General features: G+C 44.9%; 2 annotated features.

Annotated features, from left to right (window-relative positions):
- Positions 3048-4247: an enhancer, noted in NCBI's record as "P300/CBP strongly-dependent group 1 enhancer chr21:40051342-40052541 (GRCh37/hg19 assembly coordinates)". NCBI's record gives its function as "activates an origin of replication core promoter dependent on BRD2, BRD4, P300/CBP, MED14 and CDK7 cofactors, with strong dependence on P300/CBP, by STARR-seq in HCT116 cells {active_cell/tissue: HCT116}" and the evidence as "EXISTENCE:reporter gene assay evidence [ECO:0000049][PMID:35650434]".
- Positions 7169-8368: an enhancer, noted in NCBI's record as "BRD4-independent group 4 enhancer chr21:40055463-40056662 (GRCh37/hg19 assembly coordinates)". NCBI's record gives its function as "activates an origin of replication core promoter dependent on BRD2, P300/CBP, MED14 and CDK7 cofactors, and independent of BRD4, by STARR-seq in HCT116 cells {active_cell/tissue: HCT116}" and the evidence as "EXISTENCE:reporter gene assay evidence [ECO:0000049][PMID:35650434]".

Consider the following 12708-nt stretch of genomic DNA (forward strand, 5'->3'; position numbering starts at 1 on the left):
GGATGTTAGAGAGCACAGCTAGCTGTGTGGGTGACAGAGAGACTGACAGACAGACTTGGAGAGGTAGGTAGAGGTCAGGGAAAGCCTGGGATAGAGAAACTGTCCAACAGAAGCTCAAAGCAAGTAAAAGAGGAGGCCAGGGAGCTATTTGGGGCCCTGAAAAGGGGTCATCTATGGAAGGTTTGGGAACATCAGGATACCAGGAAGGCTGGATGCCATGAGTGGTGAAGTCAATGGGATCAGCTCCTATGGGCTCTGGGTAAACACTGGGAAGGAGCCAGGAGCTGTGGGCAGAGTGGGTGACATGGCCTGGCTCAACTTGGGGGAGGCTCCCTGGCCAGGAGAGCAGAGACTGTGGGGGCTCTAAGGGGAGACTTAGGGAGAGACTGTTGTTCTGCTAGCAATAGATGGTGATGGTTTGGACCAGAAAGAGGAAGAATCTAGAAATACTTCCCTAAGGCTGATTGAAGGCTGACTCTATCATCCTGCCAGGGGCCCAGGGGGAATTGCAGTAGGTACAGCAAACATCAAAGACAAGGGCCTCCTTCTGACATGAAACATCTATGTGCCCTTCAGTGAGGATTATTAAGCGCAGCGGGGCAATCCCACCAAAGACCACCAAAGAACCACACCAAAGACCACTAAGCAGCCACTAAAAATGATATCTTGGGGTGGTAACTGCAGCAGGTGTACACTTCAGTCAAAATACCTCAAATTGTGCATACACTTAATCTCTGGCCAGTTTATTCTATACAGAACATGCTTTAATAATAAATAGTAAATTAATTATTTAACCAACGTAAGGCTAGGATAAGCCTCGTACGTGCCTCTGAATGTCCCTGGGGCTGTACTTCTGATTGAAACCACAATAGCAATAGCTAATATTTTCCTCATGTTGCCAATGTGACCAGAATTCTTCTAAGCATTTTGCATAGATTAATTCAGTTAACAGTTCCAGCAATGCTATCAGATAGATACTATTATTATCTCCATTTCGCTTGGGAAGAAACGGAGTCACAGAAAGTTCGCGAGCTTTGGCCGAAATGTCTCATCAGTGGGAGCCTGAGGTTATCTGCAGCCTCCTTCCCTCACAGGGCAACTCTAAGAACCAAGGAGAGGCAGGCACCAAAGGGCTCTGAAAAGTGCAAGGATCGGCCTGGCGCGGTGGCGCACGCCTGTAATCCCAGCACTTTGGGAGGCCGAGGCGGGCAGATCACGAGGTCAAGAGATCGAGATCATTCTGGCTAACACGGTGAAACCCATCTCTACTAAAAAAAAACACAAAAAATTAGCCAGTCCTGGTGGCAGGCGCCTGTATCCCAGCTACTCGGGAGGCTGAGGCAGAAGAATTGCTTGAACCCGGGAGGCAGAGCTTGCAGTGAGCCGAGATCGCGCCACTGCACTCCAGCATGGGCGACAGAGGCAGACTCCGTCTCAAAAACAAACAAAAAAGCAAAACAAAACAAAACAAAAAAAAGTGCAAGGATCCATATCTGACCAAAATGCTTCCAGTTTCTCCACGGAGATAAGGAATAGCTTGTCTGTGGTAGGAATCTGGGGAAGATTCTAGTGACCACACCAGTTTCCCTCCAGGAAACAAATAATTACTTTAATTACCCTTTCCAGAGCCCTGTTTTCCATCCTCGTAATCATTACTTTTGCTCTTTTCTGAATTCTCTCCAATTTTCTTACACCTCTCTAAAAATTTGTGGACACTATTGACCTACAAAGAAAGTTTGAAATCGTTGACAAGAAAGACGTTTGCAGGAAGACCTTGCAATAGACGGGTCAGGTTTACAGAAGATTTTGATATCTGGGAGTTATACATGAGTTACTAAAACCCTGGCTTCTGTCCCAAACTTAGGTCCCAGGTGTTTAAGTCACCAGTGAGGAACTGTTTTTGTTACTGGCTGGAGGTCTGGTGGTGTGGGGAGGTGGGTCTGTGGCAGTGATATTGAGGTTACGACCCACAGTGATTATCAGAGCTTATTGACCCTTGAAGCCTCCGGGAGTGCTCAAGTCCTCCCAGCCTCATATCCCAGCACAGAGCCCTCTCTGGAAGTAAGAGCTGGCAGGTTTGGTTCTGGGGAGGTAACTGTCTTAGGACTACACGGTGTCATTTCAGAGGCCCATTGCCCCCTCTATCAGGCACAGGAAGACCCCAAAGAAAACCTTGCTTCCACCATGAAGCTGTGCAACTTTACACAAATTCCCTAAGCTCTCTGGACTTTACTCTCCTCATTTGTAAAATGGAGCTAGCAATATCTTCCTCATAGGGTTTCCGAAGATCAGAGGTGATAGCAGGTAAGATGCCTGGCGTGGAGTAGCCTTTGTGACAATGGGGAAAATTTGACACCCCAAGTACCAGCCCTTGGGTTGACATTCCAAGCCTTTCCCACAAACAGGTTCTTACTCAAGGTTTGAAGATTCACTAGAACATTTACAAAGGAAAGGGAAGGGGAGGGGAAGGGGAGGGGGAGGGGAGGGGGAGGGGAGGGGGAGGGCAGGGGAGGGGGAAGGGAGGGGAATGGGGAGGAGAGGGGAGGGGGAGGGGATGGGGAGGGGGAGGGGAGGGGAGGGGGAGGGGGAGGGGAGGGGAGGGGAGAAGTGGAGGGCTTCCAAGGGCCCACATCAACCATGCAGGAATTTCTACTTTTAAAATTCTGGGTAAAATTGTATTCCCCCATTTCCCAGGCTGGGGTGTGGAGGTACCCAGGGAAGGGTCACAGCCAGCCTGTGGGACTTTGAATGCTGTTCCATCTCCCAGATATCATATTGAGTGAAGGGCACCAAAGACCTTCCAGAGCTGGTACACATTAATGAGATCACATTGGAGAAAACATGAGGCAAAGCTCAAGATCATCATAGTTGTTCTTGTCTGGGCATACTACCATCTAACGGAAGGAAGCATAGTCTATGACCAAGACCAGGTAAAACAGTTAAACAACTGTGAAGGGGCTACTGAAATTGGACCGAGCATACAAAGAACCACCAGTGGGAATCTATGCCACCAACAACAACCCCTAATATCTCCCCAAAAGAAGAATTGAGGAAAGTGTCTCTCTTGTAGTTAGAGTCCATTTTTATTAACTGTCCATATAAATGTCAGACTAAAGAATTGTGCTTATAAAATGAACCTTAGGTATGACCCCAGAATTCAAAAATGCATACCCTTTGTGACCAGCAGAGACACATCTTCATTTGGGTTAAACACTGGCAGAAATAGAAACCAAGAGACGGGCTAGACCCTCAGTGGATGACCTTGAGCCATGACTTTGCTAAGTCTTTGCTTGCCCGGTATGGTTGTTAGATGACCTGATTGACAAGGTCTGCTCTAGTGATGTCCTACCAGGACTCCCAAGTATAACTTTTTCTATTATTGCTGTTTCTCAGCGGTCAGTGGGTGTAAGAGAAGCTAACCAGAGGAAGTGAATCACTTCCTGTGGTCATTCTTCTGCCCACAGTTGAGCTATTTTTAACAGTCCATATAAAAATCATAAATCCAACCCTGGGCGTGTGTTTTATTTAACAAGTGCCTAATAAGTTAGGTGGAGGTGGAGACAAAAATGGGAAGACTTGAGCCAGTGAGGAGGAAACCATTAAATAAATTCCCCCAGATAATGATAATCTCTGTAGCTTCTTTTGGAAAACTTGTCACAAAGAACAAGAATAATGTTTTTAGGGTCACTTCTATGGAAGTTCCCATTCCATATGGAAGAAACTAATTTATAAAGCAAAAGAGCTGCCCAACTTTCACAGTGTCTGTAGTAAATTACTCAAAATATTCCAGCAACCAGCCAGGGTGATTTTTCAAAAATCTTTCTCTTCTTTATCACTGCTATTTCTTTCCATTCGAATATGGTGGTATCATTTATACAAAATCTGTGAATAATTAGACAAGGAATGTGAAATGATTTACTAAGAAATGCTTGGAGATTAAGTACAATCTCACTCCAGCATTGAATGAAGGAGAGTAACAGCTTGGGCATCCATTTCAAAGGACCACAGACTGGGCAGCTTAAAACAACAGAAATTTATGTTCTCACAGTTCTGGAGGCTGGAAGTCCGAGATCAAGTTGTGGGCAGACTTGGTTTCTTCTAAGAACTGTGAAGATAGATGCTGCTCCAGACCTCTCTCCTTGGCTGTAGATGTTCATTTTCTCTCTGTGTCTCCACGTGGCATCTTCCTCCTATGACTGTCTCTGTGTCCAAATTTTCTCTTCCTTTAAGGACACCAGTCATATTGGACTAGTGCCCACTCTGATGACCTCATTTTAGCTTAACTGCCTCTGTAAAGACCCTATCTCCAAATTGGGTCACATTCTGAGGCAATGGAGATTAGGACTTCAACATGTGAATTTGAAGTGGGGATTGCTGGGGGAGACACAATTGGCCCATAACAACAAAAGAGTTTCTTTTATTGCATCGTGACTTTATCACATATCAGGCTTTCATAGTATTAAATATCTACCTAACACCTCTAGTCTGCCTTCCACTCATATCCCCCGTGTAGATGTAGCCCACCCAGAGAGAGAAAACCCAACATAAATTCTGAACAGGATGCTGCTCCCTGGACCTGCCCGCTGGAGGCACCATTTTTGAGAGAACTTCTGGTCTAGGTGCTCTTCCTAACAACATCTCAGATGCTTCTAACACTAGAGTTCAGACAGATCACAGACAACACTCAGAGGGCTATTTATAATTTAATATACACAACATATGATAAAATGAATTGTTTCACCATTTTATAATATGTTGAGATGTCTGCAGCTCTTCTCATCAATGGTTTAAAGCAGGAGTCTGCCAACCTCTTGATATGGTTTGAATCTGTGTCTCTGCCGAAATCTTGTTGAATTGCAATTCTCAATGTTGGAGGTGAGACCTGGTGAGAGGTCATTGGATCATGGGGGCAGATTTTCCCCTTTGGTGCTATTCTCATGATTGCATTCTCATAGGATCTGATTGCTTAAAAGTGTGTAGCACCTCCCCCCTTCTCTCGATCCTGCTCCTGCCGTGTAAGACAAGCCTGTTTCCCCTTCACCTTCTGCCATGATTGTTAGTTTCCTGAGGCCTCCCCAGAAGCCAAGCAGATGCTGGAACCATGCTTTCTGTACAGCCTGCCGAACCATGAGCCAATTAAACCTCTTTTCTTTATAAATTCCCAGGTCTCAGGTATTTCTTTATAGCAGTGCAAGAACGGACTAATAAACCTCTAGGAAAGGGCCAGACAGTAGATATTTGAGGGTTTGCAGTACATTCAGCCTCTCCGAAACTTCTGAACTCTGCCGTTGTAACATGAAAGCAGCCTTAGGCAACACATGCATGAATGATCGTGGCTGTGTTCCAGTAAACTTTATTTGTGGACACTGAAATTTGACTTCTATGTATTTTTCATATGTCACAAAATATTCTGCATCTGATTATTTTCCAACCATTTAAAAGTGTAAAACTGAAATATTCCTAATATGATTCTTTTCCAACCATTTAAATGTGTAAAACCATTCTTAGTTCATAGGCCACTGAAAAACATGGTGGTTGGATTTTGCCAATGCCTTAGGTTTGCTGAGCTTTGTCCCTGTTTGTTCCTGGTGAGCCATCATCTGCACACTATGCCTGTTTCTTCCTTGAAGGCCCTAATTTATCCCTTTCCATCCATACTACTCAGCTCTCCCAACACAGCCTTGAATCCTTCTCTACTGATTTCCACAAGAGGCCTTGATCCTAATCCACTGTACCAGATAATAACTGCATGCCAGATAGGGAGGCTCCACCACAATCTTTCCAACAGGAGCTTTCCAAGTCTTTGCTTCCCTTTATCAGTGCCTTTTTTAGGATCAAGATTGCTTTGCTTCCTCTAGCCAGTGGGGTGGTGGTGAGAACCAAAACTTCTGGTGGTGGTCAGGGTAATTTTTTACATTGAGAGGAGCTAAGAACAGCTTTCCTATTGAGCAAAAACATCAACACCATGATGCTTCCTACTAAACATTCTCCATCCCCTCTCTCCCTCCTCCTCCCTCCCTTAAGCAGCAACCCTTGCATTCCTCTTTGGCCATTTCATGCTCAATATCACCTTGCTTATTTGCCATCTTAGTAGAGCACTGGGCAGTACTCAGTAAATCCTCCCTAAACATTGGCCAAGTGCTGAAAACCCCTGGGATGATGGGATTTCTGTACTGCAAAAACATTTCTTGAACATGAAGTTCCCCTCTACTATGTGTTTCAGGTAAATCCAATCCTCCAAATGAAGGAAAACAACTACGAAAATATTTTAGGCATGAAATCATGGTACAGGTTTGGATGCCAGGAACTCTGTTACTGGTGACATATTTTTCATCCGAGTAATTAATTAATCAACAATTGGTGATATGGTTTGGCTCTGTGTCCCCACCCAAATCTCATCTCAAATTGTAATCCCCATGTGTCACGGGAGGGACCCAGGGGGAGCTGATGGGACTATGGGGGTGATTTCCCCCATGCTGTTCTTGCGAGAGTGAGAGAGTCTCCTGAGCTCTGATAGTTTAAAAGCAGCAGTTTTTCCTGTGCTTGCACTTCTCTTCCCTGCCGGCTTATGAAGAAAGTGCCTGCTTCCCCTTTGCCTTCCGCCATGATTGTAGCTTTTCTGAGGCCTCCCCAGCCATGCAGAACTGTGAGTCAATGAAACCTCTTTCTTTTATAAATTATCCAGTCTGTGGTATTTCTTTATAACAGTGTGAAACGGACCAATACAATGGGGTATATGCACCCTGAGTGAGTATACATCAGAGGGTGTTCACCTTTCAGAGGAGGTAGGAAGTTTTGTGAAACTCATTTTTCAGAGAATTTTAACTCTAATAGCATTAAAAAATGTAATGTGGATGCCAAAATTGGCATTGTCCCAGTCACTGCAAATCAAGGTACTAATTAATGTTTTCATCATTCTCCTATGCTTACCCGTATTTGAAAAATGAAGACGTCTACATGGGATGTTTTTCCCAAGGATCAAGTACCAAGACTAAACAAAGATTCACTGCCTGATTGAGTTTAGACCCGGCAAGCACAAGACCATTGCTTCATCTCCACCTTGGATTGCAAAATCTTTCAGGACCAGGGCTGTTGGCTGAATAACTTGCTCCATGGTACCAGGATCTGCAACTCTTGGTGCAGATTGTGGATGGAGGTGAGTGGTGAGACAGGGTGGCAGCTATCCTTGCACCTGAAAGAAGTTTGGTGACTCTCTGGGGCAGGTATGCTTCGAAGGGAGCAAGCTCTTCCAGCTGCAGGGGGACCCTGCACAGCAGAGTCCTCAGCAAACCTTGGCATTGCTTGTGGGCAGCCTCGCAGCTCAGCGGTGTGCTCATGCCAGCTCCTCTAGATGATGCTGTAATTGGATAGCAACTTTCTTCACTAGGTCACAGGTTCAAGAGCAGCCCAGACCCTTCAGATGTTGCTTTGTCCTCCCTCTCCCAGCCTGCACAGCATCAAGCTACTCCTGGGGCCTGCCTGTCCTCTCTTCTGCCCCTTACACAAGCTGGGAGCTGAGCTGAAGCAGAGCTGGTTTTAAAGCTCTGACCTCCATGAGGCAAGGACCACAAAAACCCTGGACCACAAAAAGCTAGGCTGCAGAGACAGGAACAAAAGCAAGGGATGGCAGGAAGCTGATTGACATGTGGGAATCCAACAATGCCCCAGTCTTCCAGGCGGTGTGGGTCATCTCAGCCAGCAGCACTCCTCAAATGAGAATGAGACAGGTCACCATGGGTCACAGAGCCTCTCTACCAAAGAAGGAGAAAAAGATCAAGGGGGGCTTTTGTAAAAAGGGAACATATGGACTGGCAAAATAAATCAGAGCTGGCCATGGGGTAAGATCTTCTTATCCGAAGACCGTAGTCATCGTTCCTGTCACCTTGGCTCTAGAATAAAGCCCACACCCTCATCCCTGACTTCTGTAGACTAATTTAAAAAGATTAAGTAACGTTCCTTGTTGTCGCTATCAGGATGTGAACTTGGGGTGCAGCCACCCCAGAAGGGCTGTGCGGAATGGTATTGCTCTAATTCAAAGGACGAGAAGGGAATTTTGGTTTTCATGAATTACATCATAGGGATTTTTTTTGTTTGCTGTTGTTTTTGTTGTTGTTGTTTTGCCAAGAAAACATCCTGAGTTCCCTGGTCCTGAATCTGACCTCATTAGGGGTAGAGGTTGGAGCTACGTCCCTGGCAACACCACCCTCCCACCTGGAGCAGCAGTGCTGCAGTGAAGAGGAGTTTCTCATGGTTTAGGGATAAAATGAACTGAAGAGTTCTCACCATGGCTGCCTAGGCAGCTGACGGGGCCACGGTAACTGACTCTGGATCCCACGTTCCAGCTGAACACCAAGTTATGTCTTAGTCCACATGGGTGGCCATTGAAAGCACCACAGACTAGGCAGCTTAAACAACAGACATTTATCTTCTCACAGTTCTGAAGGCTGGAAGTCCAAGATTAAGTTTCCGGCAGGGTTGGGTTCCCAGCCAGGGCTCTCTGGCTGTGTTCTCACTTGGCAGAAAGATGGTGGGGAGGGGGGACAGTGAGCCCTAGTATCTCTTTTTTAAAGGCCACATATCCTTTATCAGATCAGAACTCTACCCTTATCACCTCATCTAACCTTAATGACTTTTGGCTGGGCGCGGTGGCTCATGCCTGTAATCCCAGCACTTTGGGAGGCTGAGGCGGGAGAATCACTTGAGGTCAGGAGTTTGAGACCAGCCTGGCCAACATGCTGAAACCCCATCTCTACTAAAAATACAAAAATTAGCTGGGCATGGAGGCGCGTGCCTGTAACCCCAGCTACTCAGGAGGCTAAGGAACAAGAATCACTTGAACCTGAGAGGCAGAGGTTTCAGTGAGCCAAGATCGTGCCACTGCACTCCAGCCTGGGGGACAGAATGAGACTCCATCTCAAAATAAATAAATAAATAAATAAATAAATAAATAACCTTAATAACTTCCTTAGAGGCCCCATCTCCAAGTACCACCACGCTAAGGGTTAGGGCTTCAGCATAAGAATTTTGGAGAAACGTGAACTTTGGCTGTTGAATGCAGCCCCCATGCTCACTCCTGACTTCCTTAGACTAACCAAAAAACTTAATAGTATTCAACATTATTGCTACCAGAGTACTAAACTGCCTAGGATGAGAACTTGGGGTGTGGCTCCCCAAGTCCATAACAGATATGTGACAAAAGCACCCTCCTGGATCACTTTCACTATTCATTCATTCACGCGATTGTTCCTTGACTTAATACTTATCCACTGGAGTGACCGAAGGCCAGGTGTGCTCCCAGAGGCAGGGATAACAGTGGTGAGCAAGGAGCCACCATGCTCAGGGAGAAGTCAGACAAATAAAATGGAAAGACAGAAGAAAATAGAATGTGGCACTTCCCACCATAAGAACAAGTTGGTTTTCATTTGTGCACAACTTCACATTCTTTTTAGAGATGGGGTCTCACTACATTGCCCAGGTTGGTCTCAAATTCCTGGCTTCAAGTGATCCTCCCACCTCAGCCTCCTGAGTAGTTAGGATTACACACGTTTGCCACTGTCCCCAGCTACCTTGGTTTTGACATAATCTGGCCTGTAGCAGCTCCCTTTTCCCGTTCCTTCTTTAAGCTTTTCCAAACAGATGAATATCTTTCAATTTTCAGAAAAGTAATATCCTCAAACTCTTCAGAGTACTCCTCCCTTATCTGCAGAATTTAAACAATACCTCTTGCTTCTGTGTGTTGTTCATGGCATGTCATAACAGCCACAAGTACCTGAGCTGGATTTGAACAGAAAAGTGAGGATGATTGTAAAATGAAAAAGTATCAAGATATTTATTCTCCGAGGCCAGGTACTACGACTCACACTTGTAATCCCAGAACTTTCAGAGGCTGAGGCAGGAGGATCGCTTGAGGCCAGGAGTGTGAGACCAACATAGCAAGACCTCATCTCTACAGAATATTTTAAAATTAGCCAGGCATTGTGGTGTGTGTCTGTAGTCCTTACTACTTGGGAGGCTGAGGCGGGAGGATCATTTGAGCCCAGGAGTTTGAGGCTGCAGTGAACTATGATTGCACCACTGCAGTCCAGCCTAGGCAACAAGGGGAGAGACCCTGTCCCTTGAAAAAAAAAGGGTATTTATTTTTTGGATAATTGTAAATTATCAAAGAGGTCATTGTTTCTTTCTCCTTTAATATCATTTTAATCGGTGGATCTCCACTTTTCCTCCCCAGATTTCTTGCTCTGAAAATGAAAAGTGGCAAAAGTAGAGGAAAAGACACTGGTGGGTAGAGTCATGACAAATTTGACATTTCTAAACTGGGCTTGACAGTGGAACTTTGAAAATATTTATCTATCAGAAAATAGTTTCAGCCATGGGCAATTTGGTAAAAGGTTTAGTTGATGGAAAAACCGTAACTCAGTGTGACTGGCTTTAATGTAAGATGTTCTTGAAGGCCACAGAATCACCAGCATTTCCAACAACCTGGAAAATTTAGACCAGCTTGGAAAAATAACAGGGGGCTGGGGTCATAGCCAAAACACTGTGCAAGATTAGATAAATTTATGTGCTTTAGAGATTTGGATTTAAATATTAAATTATAAATGAAAGCAATGCTGAGGCTGTGTTTAAACAGGGCTCTCTGCCTATGTTCTGGTCTCTTTTGCCTCCAAAAGATTGGAATAACTTTCCAAAATAAGGTGTGTGCTGCATCTATATATAGTTGTTTCCCATTTGCATTTCTCGTAAAAGTATGTGCTCCTATGGCTCCTTTAAGTAGTTAAAAAGGACTCTGCCCTGTGGGTGCTGGCCTGTGTCTCAGTACTTTTGTGTGCCTTCCAAGCCCAAGACAATGACTTCTCTAAGAGGCAGCACTGCTCATCTGAGGTCCTTCCTCCTGCCACCCTGGCTGGTCTAGAGTTTCAGCCTCTGCACAGGCAATGGGCTAGTCCACTTGAAGTGCTGGGTCCATTCTGCCTTTTTCACCTGCCATGGCCCTAAAACGACTCTCTTCTTGAATTGTCTGGTGAACATAATCAGATTTTCTCCAATTTTGTTTCTGTTTTCATACCAAAAATGAAGAAAGCAACTGTGTTAGTCCGTTCTCACACTGCTATAAGGACGTATCCAGGACTGGGTAATTTATAAAGGAAAGAGGTTTAATGGACTCACAATTCCACATGGCTGGGGAGGCCTCACAATCATGGTGGAAGGTGAAGTAGGAGCAAAGTCATGTCTTACATGGCAGCAGGCAAGAGAGTGTGTGCTGGGGAACTGCTCTTTATAAAACCATCAGATCTCATGAGACTTCTTCACTATCATGAGAACAGCACAGGAAAACCTGCCTCCATGATTCAATTACCTCCCACCGGGTCCCTCCCATGACACATGGGGATTATGGGAGCTACAATCCAAGATGAGATTTGGGTGGGGACACAGCCACACCATATCAGCAACCCCCTTCCTGTAGAACAAACAAACCATCTGCAGAACAAAGGAAGAGTAAACCCAAGGCTTCATCATGGTGGTCCTCCCCCTTGCCCCTTTTTTCATCCCTCAAATTATACATGGAGTGGCATTAACCATTAACCACTCTTAGGTTTAAAACCCTCCTCCCTGTTGCCCTGAGAGTAATTTCCAAAAACATAGCTTGGTGTGGAAGCCCCGCTCATCTTCCCAGTTCTAGAGTCCCCCAATGCCCCCATCTTTGCTCTCTGTTTCTACCATAGCCAAGTAGGTTCTGATTCTTTCTACCTTCCCAGGTGTTGGAACATTCCAGGTTGGAGTGTTATTCTTACAACTCTTGTCCCCCATTTCAGTTGGCCAACTCCCACTCACTCTGCCAGGGTTTCCCCTAACCATCCCCCACTGTTGGCTTAAGTGGCCCCACCATGAGCTGTCATGCCATATCGCAGCGCTATTTTTGCACACTCCAATGTAATTGCGTTTGTACAGCTGCTCCCTGTTAGACTCCTGGAGGGCAACGGCTGTTTTGTGTTCCCTGTTGTGTCCTCACAGCCCCGCACAGTATTCAGCATATGATATGTGTTGAACAAATACTTGATGAATGGATGAATACAATTACAGGAACCAATGTTTAGGTTGAGCCATATGAAATGGCTGCTATTTAACCATTTTTAACCTACAAACATGGCAGTTTCATGATTCTATCTAATGAACTAACTGTCTTAGGAATACTGTGCCCCAGCACAAAAGACTGCTTGAAATTACCTCCAAAAGATGTAGGGGTCTAGGCCCCATGAAGAGAAGCTTCAGATAACACAGGAGAGGACAAAGGTAGAAGGAAAAGAGGATTTTGTGAAAAGAACTGAACAGGCATTTCCAATCAATTATATGCTCAGAATTTTTCCTGGTCTCCCAAATATTGCCCTTCAGCCTTGCAAACCATCTGGAAAGTTCTTTCCTCTGGATGAAGCATGCTCATGCCAAATGTGAACTCTGTACTCTCTGACAGTCGCAAGGAAGACTGTCAAATCAGGTATCACTATTGAAAAAAAAAAGAAAAATACTTTTTCTAAATCAGAAAATAATTCAATTTTATTCAGCTTTCAGAGAACTAAATAACCATGAGATTAAAATGCCAAATTGTGTATCACACTGTAGGCTTATAAGTACTATTATTCAGAAAAACTGGGTTGTAGGAGGAAAATGAAGCCCAAAATAAGAAACAAGAAAAAGTGAGATGGTCTAATT

This window comes from Homo sapiens, chromosome 21, assembly GCF_000001405.40.
Source record: "Homo sapiens chromosome 21, GRCh38.p14 Primary Assembly".
Taxonomy (NCBI): domain Eukaryota; kingdom Metazoa; phylum Chordata; class Mammalia; order Primates; family Hominidae; genus Homo; species Homo sapiens.